Here is a 19,339-nt window from a genome sequence, read left to right as displayed (position 1 = left end):
GAAAGAAACTTTTGACATATGTTAATTGTATTTTAAATTTCTTTTGTGGCTAGTAATATATTCACATTTAAATTTTTCTCTTATGTCAATTTTGGTAACATGCCCAGAAAAGTGTGCTTAATTTTAAGATTTTAAATTATATTTTGCAAGGTAGAATATCATAATCTCCTATCACTTTTGTTCTCAGCTCAGTTTAATTTTAAAAACTTTTTATTATATAAAATTAGAGAAGATAGTACAATTAACTATTGTCCCATCTTCTAGCTTCAACATTAGTCAGTTCATGAAAACTTCATTCTACTTATATCCCCATTCATTTTGTCATTCACTGCCACCCCCTCTCCCATTATTTTGAACAAATTCCACCATCATAATTTCATCTTTAAATATTTCATCATGTAGCTCTAAAATATATGGACCTAAAAATAGTGAAAATATCACTACCTACCTAAAACGTTGGCAATAATTTCTTGATGTCATCAAATATTCATTCAATGTTCATGTTTCTCCAATGATCTTTTGCTTTTATACAGTTTGAGTACATACATTATAATCAGTTGATATGTTGCCTCCATTTCTGTTATTATACCTTTCTCCTTCCAACTCTTTTTTCCCTTGACATTTCTTATTTCTGATTTCTTATTTGCCCATTTTTCCTGCTTATGTTTATCGGAAGCTTATCATTTTGCCTTTCTCTTTTGTTATTTGTTCATTTTTTCTGTTTTCTTAATTATATTTGCTTAGGGTTTATTATATTTTTTAAAGAGCCAAATATTGCACTACATCAAATTTGACACTATACTCCCAGCCTCCTCTAAAACATATTTATCTTATTGCAATTGTTTTCTTAGAATCCTTTCTTATCTCACCAATCATGTTTATCTTCTCATCTGGTTGTCTTGGCTCGTCTTACTTTTTAAAAAACTGATGTTAATTTTCCATTCACCTTTTTTCTGTTTTCTGTGTAAGAGCCTGTGGAAAAACAGTTAAGACCCCTCAGTGGCTGGGCAGTGGGAGCTGCAGATCAGCCTTCAGTGGGAGACTGAGCCCCTTAGACTTCAGTAGGGATCAGCTGAATGGGCCCAGAGGCCACCTACACCTATAGCCCAGTCTGCAGCCTCAGCTTGGAGAGCAGTCAACTCAGGAACTGGAGCAGTCCATTCTCCCTGAAATTCCTCCCTGGCCACAACCTTTTCCGCAGCAGCTGCTCTTCCCTTTCTGTCTCTTCAGGATCTCTGTGGAACTGGAGATCAGACATGGCCTTCCATGGGTGTCACAGGGGTGCCACCATGCACAGAACTTCCTGGGCCAGCATCGCCTACATCAGACCTGTGGAGTGAGCTCGTCTCCATTTTTCACATGTTTTAATCCCTCCTCAAAGCTCTCAGACATTTAAACTACTATCAATCCCCATTCACTGAGCCAGACTCTTGTGGTGTTAGTGCAAAATGTGCTCCTTGTGGAGCACACAACCTGCCATCTTTCTGTCTTTAATGCTCATCTTCTTTCCCCTTCCTTTGCAGCCTGTTCTTTGGTTTTGGTTTCTGATTTTGTTTCATGGAGTTGCTGTCTTTGTGTATTCTATTAGTGATGGCACACTGTTTCGAAAATAATTTACTTCTGGTATCTCTAGTAAATCATTTTGAGTTTCCAAAATAATTTATTTCTGGTTTGTGCAGTAAATCATCTTCAAAAGTCTCTCCATCCCCTTCTGAGTTGTTGGGGTTGTTTTTCTTTCAGTTTTTAAAAAATATTTTATTCCCAATGGCACATATTGATGTTTTCCTTTTAGATTTACTCTTAGAAGAAACATTTATCTAGCCTTGATGATGGCCTACGTAAGAATGTGTTAACTTCCCTATCTTTGTTAAGGAGGTCACTGGTTATGGCTCATAGTGGCAGACAACAGAATGCACTCTGGTTACTCTGAGAAGAAAATGATTTATCAGATGATACGATGATTCTTACAGAACTTCACCAGGACCCAGGAAATAAGATTTGATTGCTGCACACTTAGAAACAATGGCAATCAAGGGAAATGCCCCATCTTACATGGAGCTCTTCTAGTGGAAACACCATGGTTGCCACCACGTACTGCTCCGTACCTAAGTTTCTAGGAACCAGACTCTGGAAACTCTTCTAGAACTGCCCCAGGAGAACCAACGTGTCTGTTGCTTGCAAAGACCTCCAGTGTCCCTGAGCCTGGCCACTGCCTCCCATTGCTCAAACCCTCCTAGTCTCGTATGTGGACATCTGCTTGGAAGAATCTCATCCACGTACAAAATCCTGGCTCTGGTAAGTGGGGTTTTTAGTTTTCTAGCATTGTTATATCAGAAGCCTCACTAGAATCAAGCAGGAATGGCAGTGGAGTCAGCGAAAAATCTGCCGCACTAAAGAAGTTTAGTGATGGTTAGAACTCCTACAATCCCAGGTCTAGAAGGCCTTCATCCATGGTAGCTTTGCTATACAGGAGTGGGTCTCCTATCACACAACTGATTTCCTAGAACTCTGTGCCAAAGAATGATATAAAAAAAAAATCACCAATCCCTTCTTGCTCACTCTAGAGCTCCTCTTGCCTTCATCTTCCCTAAAAGAAATTTATTTTCTCAAATGAAATGTGTTACTAACAATTTCTCCCTAAACCCTTCACACCACATCACTCCCCTGATCCCTGCACATCTACTAGTTTTCTGAGAGTTTTAGTATCAAGGTGGAAATAAAAATATGTGGGGAGAAAAAGGAGAAGGGAATTCTGATCATCAACACAGTAGAGGACCAGCTGCACAGTTTCTAGGTTGGTATAGATCCTGGGGGCATGAGCTGGGGGCAGAATCGATGCTCTCGGTAAATTAGCTGACCCGTTTGAGGACATTTGAAATAAATTACTTCTAAGCAGAATTCTAGAGGCAATGTGCTATGATTTCATAAAATTATAGCCATTTATATATTAGAGACTTTTTTCTTTGACAAAAATGCTGCATGGCTTTTCAACAAATGGTGCTGGAACAATTAGATATCTACATACAAAAGAATGAAGTTGGGACCTTACCTCATAGCATACACAAAACTTAACTCAAAATGGATCATAAAAAAAATGGATCATAGGCCTCTTACAGAAGTCTAGATGTAAGAATTGAAAATGTAAGATAAAATGTAAGATATACAAATAGTCAATAGCACGTTGGAAAGATGCCCACCATTAGTCTTTTGAGAAATGCAAATCAAAACCTCAATGTGATACACGTCACACCACTAGGATGGTTAAACTAAAAAAAAAAAAGACAATAACAAGTGTTGACAAAGATGTGGAGAAACTGGACCCCTCATTCATTGTTGGTGGGAATTTAAATTATGCAGTTGTTTTGGAAACAAGTTTGGCAATTCCTCAAAAAGTTAAAGTTACCATATGACCCAGCAATTCGGCCCCATGAGTACTGAAAACATATGTTGATGCAAAAACATCTATGCAAATGTTCAAAGCAGCATTATTCATAATAGCCAAAGAGTCAAAAAGCCCAAATATGCATCAACTGATAAAAGATAAACAAATATGGTACATCATTCACCATAAAAAGGAAGGCAGTACTGATACATACTAAACATGGATGACTCTTGAAAACAGTACATGAAAGGAACCAGTCACAAAATGTCACAAATTGTATAATCCCATTCCTATTGCATGTCCATAAAAGGCAAGTCCATTGGGACATAAAACAGATTAGTAGTTGCCAGGAACTGAGGGTAAGATGGGGAAAGACTGCCGATGGGTGCAGTTTTTCTTTTTAGGGTGACAAAAATGTTCTAAAATGAGAGAGTGGTGAGGTTGTATAACTCTGTGAGTACATTAAAAACCACTGAATTGTAAACCTTAAAAAGGTGAATTTTGTGATAGGTGAGTTAAACCTCAATAAAGCTGTTATTTAAAAAAGTAATGCATGAGATTCCTATTTGAATGTCACCAAGAAGATTGTTCACTTGACACAGATTTATTCATGGTACACTCATTATATGAAGTATAGTCCTAGCCTCAGTAAAAATTTAAAAAAATTTAAAAACAGAATATATAAGTGTTTCAAACTCAACAGATTTTAGGAAGCAAACTCAAAAAAAAATCAGAAGAAAGGAGATAATAGATAAAAGCAACAATTAATGAGTTAGAAACTTAAAAAACAGTAGGTATAATACATTCAAATTTAGTTCATTAAAAAAACAACAAAGCAGACAAACCTATTTAAGAAAATAAGGGAGAAAACACAAATATAAAGAAATGATAAGGGAGAAATAATTATGGAAACAAAGGGAAGTGAACAAAATAAGGAGGACTTCACCTCAGGCCATGAGGAAATAGCAAGACATGAACTTCTTTTCCTATAAAAAGCTTCGAAACAGGACAAAATAGATTAGACAACTGTATTCAGACATTGGACAATAGATAGCACAGTACTGTGATCCCTAACAACAGATAAACACCTTTCTACCTGGAGGCGTTTTTCAGACCATGGTCGCAGAAGCAGCAACCCGAACGGGGCCCAGTGGCCTCAGAGTTGAAAGGATAGAGATCAGAGTTCAAGGAGGCTGAACCTATAAGACATTGTAAAGATGATTTCCAAAGTGGAGGGAACTACCCAGAGAAACCACTGCAGAAATTTGCAGAGGGTCTTCATGAGTGTTTGCTGAGTTTTAGGCTGTTCCTGTGCAGAGTGAATGTCAACAAAGATGGGCAAAGCATGACCAGTGAGCTGTGAGCTGACTGAATGCCCATCACACAAGGAAGGCAGATGTTTATGGTCTGGCTTGTCAGAGTGGAGAGTCCTCAGCAACACCCTGGAGTGGTCACTGAGTACCCCAGGGCAGTCACGCAGTACTGATAGGACCAAATTATTGGTGGAGCAACATTATTCTACATCTACCCTAGAAAAGCTTTAAACAAAAACAGGTCTCCAAGGGATCAGTCTAATCTTCAAATGACTTAGATGTTTTTCAAAACAAAGCCCACCACTCTATAAAGGGAAATGGCAAAATGCAAGCCCCAAAACATACCATTTATAGTATCCTGCTAAAAACTACAAGAAGCAAAAAGAAAACGTGAATAATAACTAGGAGAAATATTAACCATTAGAAGCAAATCAGAAAGGACAGAGTGATATGGTTTGGCTGTGTTCCCACCCAAATCTCATCTTGAATTGTAGTTCACATAATCCCCATGTGTTGTGGGAGGGACCAGGTGGAGATAATTGAATCATGGGGGTGGTTTCCCCCATCCTGTTTTCATGATAGTGAGTAAATTCTCACGAGATCTGATGGTTTTATAAGGGGCTACCCCCTTTACTTGGCTCTCATTCTTCTTCTCCCTGCCATCATGTGAAGAAGGATGTGTTTGCTTCCCCTTCTGCTATGATTGTAAGTTTCCTGAGGCTTCCCCAGCTATGCTGAACTGTGAGTCAATTAAACCTCTTTCCTTTATAAATTACCCAGTCTTGGGTATGTCCTTATAGCAGTGTGAGAATGGACTAATACACAGAGATTATGGAATTAGCAGACAAGGACCCTACAACAGGTATTATAAATACATTTAGGTACTTAAAAGAAAATAAAAACATAGTGAGGACAGAATTGAATAAATTTAAAAGAACCAAATGCAATTTCAAGTGATGAAAAATACAATAAATGAAATTAAAAAATTAGTGGAAGTAATATGAGTAAATTGAATAATACAGAAGAAAAAATTACAGGTTCACTGAAAGGTCACTGAAAATCAACTGACAAAAGGCAGATTAGTAGGAGAAAAAGGCATACAAACTTTATTTTAATGTGCATAGCACAGGGGAGTTGCAGGAGAATGATTGCCCAATAACCCAATGGGGTACAGATACTTATAGCCCCTTCTTCACAGGGGAAGGGAAAATGGGGGAAGTGTGGCAATCTGAGGGATAATAAATGATTTTTAGGTGGAAATAAATGGGCCTAATGGTCCGACAATGGTTAGTAAATTGGAAATTTACTAACCATTTGGAAATTGGAATGGGGCAGAAAGAAGAAATGGTTTGGGATTCTTCCTCTGTGATATGAATTTTAGTCTTCTCTGGTTAATAAAATTTCGAGGCAGGCAATTGTGTTCCTCTTTGGTAGGTCCAGTTTCTAGATAGATGAGGGAATTTTAGAGAACAGCTTTATCCTATGCTTTGGGGAGGACAGAGGACTGGGAGATGGGGGAAGGAGTTAGAACTTGAGCTGCTTCTTTAGATCAGCAATATTTTGGGGTGAAATATTGATTTTTTAGTCTCCTGTTTGAAGCTTTATTTTCAAAAGGTTTCACATATTAAAGTAGGATTGGTAGCTATGGAGAGAGAAATCAGATTAGTAATCCAGTGGCAAGCGATCTGTAAAGGGAGAAAAGAACATAGATTATGATGAGAATGAATACATAAAGAAAGAACAAATCTAAGCACTTTCAAAAATCCAATTAAACTAGTCTCTTATTTCTGGAAATTGGCCAGTCCAATTAAACAAGTGTGTTTCATTTTAAAAGATGGCATTGTAGATAGATTCTCAAAGCTAGGCCTCTATATATGATGTAGGCAAATAGAGCTTTAATAAGAGGGCTTTTATGGAAACAGAAACAAAAAACAAATGTTAATGGGTGAAATAATTTATAAACTAGTTTCTTTAGAGTCTGGAGGACAGTCAGTTGAGAAGATTAGTGGCAATCTGACAGATTTTTGTAGCCTGCATTTTGCGTGTAGAAAGTTTTGTCCAAATATAAGCTGTTGCAATAATATTCCTTCAAAGCCAAGTTGACTAGCTTCAGCCTCAGGAAAAAGGCAGTTTTAGTTTCTAATAATTCTAAGTCAGAAGGGTGGAAGAAAAATTGGAAACATTAGTCTGAGTGTCTCAGCCATATATTGGAGGAAAATAAAAATGTGTGATTCAGTCCAGATACAAAGCTCAGAAACAAATGGACAAGGCTAGAATGTAATAACAGGCATATGTGAAGTTTTTTTCTATGACATAATTTTTTCTCTCGAATCCTCCCATTTCAACCAAAGATAATCATAGACAGACTGTTTTGTTTAAGTTTAGTCTTTGACCTGATTATTTACAAAAGTTTAGTAAGAATGATGAATGACCTATAGGCTTGTTCTAAGTTGGCTTTGCTGGAATATTTTCATAAAGAATCTCAGATTAGACTTTTTAAAAAGCCCCTTGGCTTCCTAGCTATGTTAAGAAGTCAAGCCAAAAATCTGACTCAGTCTCAGACTGTGTCTGTAATACCTGTATAAATGGATGAATACCTCTTTTCTCAAGGTCCCTCAAATAACTTGAGGTTCATGGGCCTGTCATAAGGTGACATTCATTACTCACCACAAAATCAGGAAGCTTGTAAGGGAATCATGTAGACAAGGTACAAGGCCAGTCTCTCCAAGGGACATTTTATCAGCTCCACAAAAGTCAACTTCAGTCCTCAAAGCAATCTGATCATATCTAAAAATATTGTATTTCAGTCAGAGCCTTGGTAAAATAACCAGTGTTTCCAGTTGTGTCTTGTTATAAAAGAGAATGAGTTCTTACTGAACTTATGAAATAATTGTAAAGCCATAAAGTAAGAATACTCATGAAGAATTTCTGAATTCTGAAGGGATCAGGTAGAGAGAAAGGTAAATGTTTCAACTTTTTTCACAGAAATATACTTTGTCTATAGCTTTTACTGTAAAGCTATAGATAGCTTAAGAGAAAACAGTTTTCTTAACTCTCAAAAATAAAACTTGAAAAGGATAAGCAATGTTTCAAACAAAAGAATCATAAAAAATTATTTCAGTCCTTCACCATTTCAGCTCTATGTAATTAATTCTTGTTCTGCTTGACATTAGGTTAGCAATTTTATGAGTCAATTTTTTTTTCATTAGAGTTCTGGAATTTTAACCAGTCCAATGAATGGTATGTTCTCAAAGTTTTCTAAAAACCTTTTAACTTACTAAAAAGGTTTTTGAAATGATGACAACTTTTATTCTTGTTTATTGCATTTACATTTACCTGATTTACTCATTCTTAACAATTATATTTGAATTGCTCATAGAAAATAAAGCTAGCCATTTAAGTGATTTTTAATTTTAATTTATTATTTATTTTATTTCATTTTTTTCAGACAGGGTCTCACTCTGTCACCCAGACGGGTGTGCAGTGGCATGATCATGGCTCACTGCAGCCTTGATTCCAAGGGTGAAGTGATCTTTCCACCTCAGCATCCCAAGTAGCTGGGACTACAGGTACACACCATCACATTCAGCTAATATTTTTCTTTTTCCTTACTCAGCTAATTTTTAAATTTTCTGTAGAGATGGTGTCTCACCATGTTGTCCAGGAATGATCTTGAACTCCTGGGCTCAAAGGATCCTCCTGCCTTGGCCTCTCAAAGTCTTGGGATTACAGGTGTGAGTCACTATGTCTGGTCTATTTTTTAAAAGGCAACACGAGGCTAATCCTGTGTCAGCAAGCAGTTTATCCTACCAAGGCCTTTGAGATACTGGGCACAGACACCCCCCGCAATGTCCCTCCCACAGCCATCCTGGGTATCCAGGAAAGCTCTGAAGGGCAGGGCCCATCTGGGTCCTAGAGTTACATATCAGATGTAGAGCCCAGGACAGAGGATAGACTTTTGAAGAAAATGTCTAGAGGATCCAACCCCACTGAGCATGGCCAGGAGGTATAGCTGGGCCAGGGAAGACGGGGCCGTATTGGGCTTGGCTCTGCCCTGCAGCTGGTGGCTTAGGCACTGTAGACCCACGTGTCCCCAGGCCTCACCATAGCCACCTGTCCAGAGCCCAGAATCCAGAAGCTCAAAACCAAAGATATAAGCTCACAGTAAGATGTATGTAAGGTTGGGGGAAACCCAGCAGCCAGCCCACAGCACAGTTTTAGCTCACAGACAAATCAAGCAAGTATTAAAAATATCACAGAAGCAACAATTTTGTAACCTTAAAATGTCTATAAGAGACAGCATAAATCTGTCTGACCAGTAGACCCAGGCAAAAACGTCGCATTAATAATGACAATTCTGAAGGCATTTTCATTTTATTTTACCAACAATTTAAAAATTAGCTTTATTTACCAAAGATTTATTACAGTCATGTAAACTTGAATAGCATTTAAGCTTATCTACTTAATTCAAGAGTGTTTATTTTAAGATCAATTTGGTATTATGTAGACAATATAGAAACACAGGTATAATAATCTACATACATGTCGACACAACATACACCACCACATGCATACATGATATGTATCTAAAAACCAAAGAGATCCAGGAATTCAGTGCAAAAGAGAGCAGACCTTTAGATCTGAGAAGAAGCTGATTATGACTTTTGAGGCTCATGAGGAAGACAGAGGACCCCAAAAGAGAGGGTCAATAGTGCCTTTTCTGTGTTCTGCTCGGGTTCTCAGCATTGCTGAAAGTTTCCTTTAGATCTTTGTGGTGGCCAGAGTGCTGTTGCTTCCTTTTAGTAATTTTTATCAACTGATTACCAAATGAAGGAGGGAGGGGATTAACTGGATGAAAGATTGAAGGTGCCAAAAGGAAAGAGGAGAAAAAGTAAATGGACCAAGTCTTAGGGGAGTCAGTTTGGGAGAATCTTAAGTTTCCCAAAAGGTCAATGAAGTTTTAGTTAGCAGGGGTTCAAAAAAGAGGGGTCTTGTTGACTAAGAAGTTTCCATAGGAGAGATAGAATTTAAAAGAGAAGAGAGAAGATTAGCTTTTAATTAAACTGACTTTCGACCATAGAGCTCTGTAAAATTAAAAAAAAAAAAATACAAGCAGCAAATTTTCTGTTATGTGAGCAGCCAGCCTTTTGTGAGAGCTGAGAGACTGAGGAGGGGAGCATTGGCAGTGGTGGTGGGAGCAGCACCTCTCTTTTGCCACCTAAGAAGGTCTTTGGTTCCCAGTGGTGGTGGGAGATACATCTCTCTGATCCAGTAGAGGATGCAAGATAAACAGAAAAAAAACTTGCTATCACATTCTAAAAATAGAGTTTTAAACCAGAAGTATTCCTAAGTGAATTACTCAAAACCAAAACAAATAAGCATACATGAGAATAAAACCAAGAAGCCCTTTATGGGTTTAACCCAAGTCTCCAAAAGAGAAGCAAAAGTTGCAACCCTTCCAAGATCTAGACCCCTCCCAGTGACAGCTTAAAGCAAGGAAAGTGTCACCAGTCACAAATGAAGTACAGCCCACATCTCTGTCTGGTCATATTTTCTAGAGACCAAACTTCTCAGCTGTCCATCTACACACAATGGCCCAGCAATCTGTGTGCCCCATAGATGGAAAATTAAAAGCGACAGTTAGTTAGACAACAGAAAATGAAAAGTTGTCTATATGAGAAGAAAGAATACAAACAAATGGGTACCTCAAATGTTGAGTCATACAAATATAAATTCAAAACGAATAATTCAAACTAGTTTTTATAAATGTTTCCTTCTGAATTAAAGGATTTACATTTTCAAGGGGCCGATTCCCTGACCAGAGAACTAAATCAAACCCAGACCACAGTGGTAAATGCACAGAATCTTAAATACCAGACCATAGGCTGGAGTGACTTTTTTACAAATTCCCCTGGAAATTCAAAGTTGGCAGTTTGAGTGTTCAAAGAATTTTAACTTTTGTTTTAGGTCAAATTTTTGCTTTTTAATTTTGTCAGAATAATTTTTAAGACTAGCCATCCCAATATTACATGTCTTTCTTTTAATTTGGTTCTCTCATCAATACAAATAAGGCAACTGCTTAGGGCAAGAGATCTTCAAATTTTGTTTTCAAATATATAAGTCTTTCTAATTCAAAAAACTATTATCTGGCCATTGATGATTAGACTTTCCAATGGTGTACTTATTTTAATAGCAACTCAATCTAATAAGCCTCTTTATGGGAAGATCAGGAGGCATAGAAGATGCAGCCTCCATGATCCCCAAAAATTCACTCCCAGAAATAGGCTAAGATAGCAAAAGATCTTTGTTGCCACAGGTGATTAAGGATGGTATTTGTGTGAATGATGTCTCTGTTCTCCACACAAGTACATGGACACATGGACACTCGGCTGTACCATCAGTTATAGATCCACCAACTTCTGGGATTGGATTTGCCCAGCACTAACCAGGCAACAAAGATTGAGACAACAAAGCCCCTTGTGGATGAGGCTCCTTATTAAGACAAACCATCCTGAGAGCCTAGCATGTTAGCAACAGAGCACGCTGCTTAAAATTTTATGCATCTTGGGTGTCCCAGTCCTTTCAGACTGGCCACCACACATGATCTGAAAATCACACACCCTGGATAGCAGAGACCAAAAAGAGAAATGCTCCCACTTGGTCACAAAGAAAGCTTTCAAGGACATAAAACAAAAGGAGAGGGCAACCTCATTCTGTTTTCATTTTGGAGACCCGCAGCACAATTTTTCTAAATAGGTGCTGGAGGTCTGCTGAGAACTATAAAACTCACCGGTCTGTGGAAGCTGGCTTGAACAACAGGCTTATGTTTTAGGCCTATGTTCTACCCTATGGTACCCCTGTTTATGACAAAATGACACAGGGAGACAAAGATAAACAAAAAGCAAAGACTATTTCTGGGCATAAATGGATCAGACAATATGAATATTCATACCAAAAATACACCAGAGTCACCGCACCTAACAATAGTCATACAAATGCTTTTCTCCCATTAATCTTAAATGTAAAAAGGAAAAATAGACAAAAAGTAATTTTTACCATCTGCTCAACCAGATTCCACAGAGAGAGACTGGGAGTCTGGTACCAGATTCCACAGAGAGAGACTAGGAGTCTGGTAACAGTTTCTTACTCTTATATTGGCCTCTCAGGTCCTGAGTTCCTTTGGTTGTGGCTTCCAGAAAAGCAGAGCAGTTTTGGATATGCTGCTCACAGCACCAAATATATAAGAGTAAAGGGGGAACATTTCCCTCTTCATCCTCTGACTGTTTGCTGAAAATCAACAGAGAAAAGCAGACTCATAAGAGAAAAAAGGCATACAAACTTTATTTTAATGTGCATAGCACAGGGGAATTGCAGGAAAATGACTACCCAATGGGGTATGGATGCGTATATACTCTTCTTCATAGCAGAAGGGAAGATGGGGGAAATGTGGATGGTTTGAGGGATAGTAAGTGATTTTCAGGGGCAAAATGAATGGGCCTCATACTCAGACAATGGCTAGTAAATAATAGTCTTTGGAAATTGGAGAGGACAGACAGCAGACAACGGTTTGGGATGAGTTCATCTGGTGTTTAATTTTCAGTCTCTTCCTTTTGATATGAGTTTTAATCTTCTCTGGTTAATGAAATTTTAGGGAAGAAAAGTGTGTTCCTCTTTGGTAGGTCCAGTTTCTAGGTAGATAAGGGAACTTTGGAGAGCAGCTTCATCCTGTGCTTTGGGAGAGACAGAGGATTGAGAGATAGGAGAAGGGATCAAAGAGACCTTGAGACTGCTTCTTTAGCTCAGCCACATTTTGGGGTGAAATATTCTGGTTTCCTTTAAGATCAATGAACTTGTAGATATAGCAATGGGATTTATCCAAAATGAAGCCTAGAGAGAAAAATGACTAAGAAAAATTGTATGGAGCTACAGAGATCTGTGGAAAAATATAAAGTCATCTAATGTAATGGTAACTGAAATTCCTCAAAGAGAAAAGACAAAACATTTGAAGAAATAATGTCTGAAATGTCTCCAAATTGGATGAAAATTACAGAGCTAGAGATCCAAGAAGCACAACAAACCCAAAATAGAATAAATACACACATACACCCCCCAACCACACACCCCATAATAAAGCATTATAATAAATAGCTAAAAACAAGTGGTAGAAATATTCTTAAAAGCAGAGAGGGAAAATAGATATATGTACAGAGGAACAGTAAGAATGACTGCAGACTTCTTGTCAGAAGCTATGCAGACCAGAAAACTTTAAAGAGCAATAGATAGATAGACAATAAATCCTGTTAACCTATAATTATATATTCATGAAAAATAATTCTTTGAAAATGGAAGTCACATAAAATATTTTTCAGACAAATACAAGCTACAAGAATTCACTTCCAGCAGACCTACACTACAATAAATTTAAATCAAGTCCTTTAAATCATGGGAATATAAAACCTACGATCACATAGAAACTTGGATGTATACACAAGAATGGAAAGGGCTGATATTGATAAATATTTGAGTAAATATAAAGGGTTTTTTGCCTCATTTAAACATTTTGTTAAAAGATAATTTAATTTTTTTTCTTTTTTCTTTTTTTTTTTTTTTGAGACAGAGTCTTGCTCTGTCACCCAGGCTGGAGTGCAGTGATGTGATCTCAGCTCACTGCAGCCTCTGCCTCCTGAGTTCAAGTGGTTCTCCTGCCTCAGCCTCTGGAGATCTGGGACCACAGGCATGTGCCACCATGCCAGGCTAAGTTTTGTATTTTTAGTAGAGTTGGGGTTTCACTATGTTGGCCAGGCTGGTCTCAAACTCCTGATCTCAAGAGATCTGCCCACATAGCCTCCCAAAGTGCTGGGGTTACAGGCATGAGCCACCATGCCTGGCCCATTATTTGCCTTAAATAATGTAATATTTAAGGCAAAAAGAGTAGAAATGTATTTTGCAGTTAAAATAAGGTGAGAAATAAAGTGTACGACAATAATAGCACAAAGATAGCAGGCAAAAATAGAAATATGATGTCCTAAGGATTATACATGAAGTAGCATAATATTATATCTATATGGACTGTGAAAAGTTAAATTTGAATATTGTAAATCTTAGAAGAACTACTTAAAATAATAAAAGACTATAGCTTATCAGCCAATAGTGTCTATAAATAGAGTAGAAAAAATATATTCCAAAAGAAAGTGGAAATTTAGGGGAAAAGAAATAAAAAAGGGATGAGACGAATAGAAAAAAAAGGGAGATGGTAGATTTAAATTCAACCATGTTGATAATTACATAACATGTCACCCCAATCAAAAGACAGAGCTTGTTAAAAATGAAAGACAAAACTGTGTGCGAGCTGCAAGAAACTTAATTATTGTTATTATTTAAATTTTTAAATTTAAATTTTAGATTCGAGTGGTATGTGTTTGTTACAAGGTTTGTCGCAGGTTTATTGCAAGATTAGTTATATCGTGTGATGCTGAGGCTTAGGCTTCTATTGATCCCATCATCCAGATAGTGAACATAGTATCAATAAAAAGTTTTTCAGCCCTTGCCACCTTCCTGTCTTCCCTCCTTTTGGAGTTCCCAGTATCTCTTGTTCCCATCTTTATGTTCACATGTATCTGAGGTTTAGCTCCCACTTATAAGTGAGAATATGCAATATTTATTTTCTGTTTCTGAATTAATTTGCTTATAATAATGGCTTCCAGCTGCATCCATGTTGCTGCAAAGATCATTATTTCATTCTTTTTTTATGGCTGCATGGTATTCCATGATGTATATGTACCACATTTTCTTTATCCAAGAAATTCACTTCACATGTGATAACAAAAATAGGTAAAAGATAGAAATAGATATTTCATGCAAATAATAAAAATAAAGTAAGACTGGCTGTATTAACATCAGAGAAAACAGAAATCAGAAAAATGATTATTAGCAGGGATGAAGAAGGACGTTTTATACTGACAAAGGGTCAATGCATCACAAAGATATAACAATCTTAAATGTGTATGCACACAATAAATGAAGCAAAAACTGATAAACTGGGAAGAATGGGTAAATCAACAATCATAGTTGGAAATTTCTGCATTCTTTTCCTAATAACTTACAGAAGAAGTAAACAGAAACTCAGCAACACTATTTACTGAATAGTGAATAACACTATTTACCAACTTGACTAATTGATGTAAATATGTCCATGTAATAGCAACAGAATGTTCACTCTTTTCCAGTGCACATGGAACATTTGCCAAGATAGGCCATGTGCTGAGCCAAAGACCAAGCCTCAACAAATTTAAAAGGATTGAAATCATAAAAAGTTTATGTTCTGCCTATAATAGAATTTAATAAGAAGTCAACAACAGAAGAATCTGGAAAGCCCCCAAATATGTGGAAATTAAACAACATATTTCTAAATAACCCATGGGTCAAAGCAGAAATAACAAGGAGGATCAAAAATATTTTGAACTAACTAAGAACAAAAACGCAGCATATTAAAATAGGTAAGATATGGCTACAAACAGATCAAAACTTCCACTTCAAGATGCTAGAAAGAAGCAAATTAAATCCAAAAATAGGAAAAGGGAAATAATAAACATAAAAGCAGACATGAATTAAATTTACCAAAACTAAAAAAATAAATGAAACCCACAGCAGGTTCTTTGGGGAAAAATTAATAAAATTAATAAACCTCTAATTAGATTTATGCAGAAAAAAAGAGCGAAGACACAAATTCCCGCATCAGGAATGAAAGTGACACATCACTACAGATCCTACAGACTTTAAGAGGATAATAAGAAAATATTATGAACAACTTTATTTTGACTACTTTGATAACTTAAATAATTCTTTGTTACAGTGTTACTTCGTATTAGAGAGAATGTTTTTATTCTCAGGCGATAGATGCAAAAATATTTAAAGTGCAGCTCACTTTCAAACGGTTCAGCCAAATGTCGATGATTTTTGAATCTAAGTGGTGAGTATACAAATGTTCCTCGTATTCATCTTTTATCTTTTTTGTATATTTGAAAATTTTTGGAATACAAAGTTGGAAAAAATAAATCATGCACAAAAGATTGCCAGTAGAGCAGCTGCCGTTCAAGTTGAGTCATTTGAAACAGGGCTTATGATGGGAAGGATAGTGTCATGATCTTTTGACCATGAGATCAGGGTTGTGACCTTCCTTTTGTTTCAGGATGAAGCTTCTTGGTGATGTAACAGTCTGTGGAAACTCCCACAGGACAAATGCAGAAAGGAAGGACCTAGATCACTGGATGGTCAACGTTGCCCCTTGCACAGCAGCAAAGGCCTATACAAATTTTTTGAGTAGCTTTATCTAGTGGTTCAGCTACTGGGAATAACTTGTAAAATCCCCTGGATAGTCAACAGCATTGGGGCTTGCTTTGTAAACAGAGACCTGACCTACTTAATTCTTCCCAGAGGTTGGAAAAAGAGGCTGGACTCACACAGACATGAAACCTTGGCTTAATTGGACACTAATTACTCATAAGAGATCTGTTTACCCGAACTTCCCCTAGACCAAGCTCAGTATAAAATGAGAGGATGCATAAAGAAGCAAGATATTTAGAGGAAAATGTCACAAATACATTTATCAGTCCCAAAAGTCCTTTTTTTTCCCCAGAAGTGATGTTGCTAATTGCACAAAAATAAACAATACAGGGGTTGATAAATTCCACATTTAAGGGCTGAGGATAGTGTCCCTACATTTCTAAGAAGCTGTATATTTGGAAATGAATACAATTGAAAGTAAGGATAAGTGGCATTCTAAAGCCAATTGGATAACTTGAATGAACAAGCAGAATTTACCATATTTTGATATGTTTCTTTTTGATTAAAGTATCTGTAAAGGAAACAAATTATAGTATTGCTATAGATTTTATTACTGAACAAGAAAAAAAGGCTTGATGTTGTGCATTTCCTTTTGGCCTTTGGTCTTGGCTGATATTGGGCATCCAATGAGCTTCTTTGTCTTGAATGAAGACTTAAGAGGGAGTGAAAAGTAGGAAGAGCATCAAAACTTCTTTGCAGGATGTAATCAAACCACCTACTACTTATTGTCTTACGATCCATTTATTCAACAAATGGAACATCTCAATTGCTTGATGCTATTACAGACACTAGGTATAGTCTTAGAAAAACAAATTGCTGTTTTTATATAGCTTGTGTTATGGGTTGATGTAGTACAGTCAAAATTATTTAAATAAAGGAAGATGTGAGGAAGACTTTGAACTTAGAAATCTGGGTTCTCATCCAAGCTTTGCTGCTAGCTTGTTGGGGGAACCTTGGGTGATGAGTTGGTTGACTCCTTCCAGATCTCAGCGTTCATCCATCAAGTGAGGGAACTTGACCAGATATTCAATAATGGCCCTTCCAGCCCCATCTCTATATGAAAGGGAAACCACAGTATGGGCCCATGGGGAAGATCATGGACTTTGGAGTAAAACATTTCTGGCTTGGTCAATTATTTAATCTCTTGATCCCGATCAATTCATGTAACTACTCTGACCCTCAGTTTCCTTGCTGCAAAATGAGATACTAATATTTGCTCAAATAAGATAACAGGCAAAACAATCATGAGGGCTCCTGGCACACCACTGTGCATGGCTTTTGCTCCCTTGGGGAGCTTATAAATGAAAAAAAGATTTTACAATGCAAAGACAGTAAGCATTTTGTTAGTGAAGCAACAAAATAATTGGGCAATTTCCTCTCAATTGCACCATCAACTGATGCCCAACCTAGAAAGCATTTGGCTAAGAATGGAAAAGGAATCTTTGCCCAGATCCCTCAATTTTGACCATCATGGCATATACATGAATTGGCAGACTAAATTTATGCTCCTTTTGAAAACTGTGTCCATTCCAAGAAGTCAGGCTATTTTCACCCAGCCTGGTCTAGGCAGTGGGACTCCCCAAGGCTACAAGCAGAGCCACAGTGCTCTGGGCTGGGCTGCCACACTGTCATGCTGGGGCAAAGATGGCAGCAGACAGCTCTCTTGGGTAACAGCAGGAAGCTCTTTTCACAAGAGTGATCTCATCTCTTAGGGGACTATGGTAGAAACACAGGGCAAAAGCTATAGGAATGGTCCAACATAATAACTGTTTTTTTTTTTAATTTTCAAAACATGATAAATGATTAAGAATATAAAACTGGAATTTAGAACTTACAGAGAACTTGTATGAATAAATTAAAAAGACAACCTAATTTTAAAATGGGCAGAAGTCTTGGGCAGGCACATTACAATATAGCAGGGGTCACCAAATTAAAGCCTCACCAGCAAAATCCACCTCCCATCCCAGCCTGTTTTTATAAATAAGCTGTGTTGGAACACAGCCAATCCCATTCATTCACACATTGCCCATGGCTGCTTTTGCTTGACAACAGCATAGTTGAGTAGTAGGGACAAGACCATATGACCTCCAAAGCCAGAGATATTAACTGTCAGGCCCTTTATAGAGTGATTCACGGAGACCCCCATAATAGAGGAAAATACAAGTGGCCAATAGCACATAAGAAGATGCCCAGTATTACAGCCAAGAGGAAAATGCAAATTACACCCACAGTAAGATACCATTATGCATCCATTAGAAAGGCTAAAATTAAAAGGACTGACAACAACAAGTGTTGACAATGGTGGGTAACAGCAAGAGCTCTCATACACTGATGGTTGAAGTGTAAATTGGTTCAGTTTTGGAAAAGAGTTTGGAGGTGTCTACTACAGTTAAACATACATATTTCCATGCCCCAGAAACTCCTGGGCATATTCTCAAAAGAAACGAGGGCTGTGGCCACCAAGAGACATGTGTGAGAAAGGTCCTAGCACCTTTATATATCATAGTCCCAAACAGAAAACAACACATACCCATCCACGTTAGGATGAACTAAATAAATTGGGGCATATGCATTCAATGGAATAGTACATAGCAATGAAAAAATAAACTGTTGCCCCATGCAAAGATGTTTTACAGACATAACGTTAAGCAGAAGAAAGCAGATCTCAAGGAGCCCACATTGTACAATTCCGATCTATATGAAGCTCAATAACACATGGTACTAGAAGTTGTAATAGCAGTTACCTGTAGGACTGGAGGTTTGTATTGAAAGAGAAGGAACATCAGGAAGTCTGCTGGAGCCTGGAAATGTCTGAGATGTTGCTCTGGGAGGCAGTTGCATGGCTGTAGACATATGTAAGACATTATTGGATGGTATACCTGAGATTGGAGCACCTACAATAGAAGGTACAGTGTTACATCTCAGTGAAAAAGAGAAAATATTAAAGAAGAAAAAGACTGTGGATCATTTTGGACTTGAACCTTATGCAGTAGTGGGTACTACAGAGTCATGTCTCAACTACAATTCAAACTGCAATACCTTTTAAGCTTTGTGTTGAAAAGAATGAATATTTGGGAATGTAATTCTGTGTTTGTGATAAAGTCCTCCATAATAACTGATTCAAAGCAAAGGAGACTACAGTTTCCCCTGGTGCCCTGCCCCTGTCTCTGATTGGTGCATGTTTGTTGGGACATCTACCAGAGGGGATTAATGCCCCAGGCTAATGCCACTCCCTGTGCCCAACTCATATCAGGTGGCTGGGGGGCAGGCAATCCAGAGCCTTCTTGCTTCCCCAGTGAGG

General features: G+C 37.5%; 1 long non-coding RNA gene and 1 pseudogene across 1 annotated transcript in view; one reads left to right on the top strand and one right to left on the bottom strand.

The window, feature by feature from the left end:
• ETS2-AS1 (ETS2 antisense RNA 1) overlaps nucleotides 1-18,965 on the top strand; it is a 61,139-nt gene extending 42,174 nt beyond the window's left edge. The window contains exon 4 of the long non-coding RNA NR_120405.1: nucleotides 15,884-18,965. This is a non-coding gene — a long non-coding RNA (ETS2 antisense RNA 1). The remainder of the gene's footprint in view (nucleotides 1-15,883) is intronic.
• Nucleotides 1,061-1,342, bottom strand: RPSAP64 (ribosomal protein SA pseudogene 64; annotated as a pseudogene).
• Nucleotides 18,966-19,339: the final 374 nt, after the last annotated feature.

Source organism: Homo sapiens, chromosome 21 (genome assembly GCF_000001405.40).
Source record: "Homo sapiens chromosome 21, GRCh38.p14 Primary Assembly".
In the NCBI taxonomy this organism is placed as follows: Eukaryota; Metazoa; Chordata; class Mammalia; order Primates; family Hominidae; genus Homo; species Homo sapiens.
The sequence above is the reverse complement of the archived record's forward strand: the minus strand, read 5'-3'. Positions and strand labels throughout refer to the sequence as shown.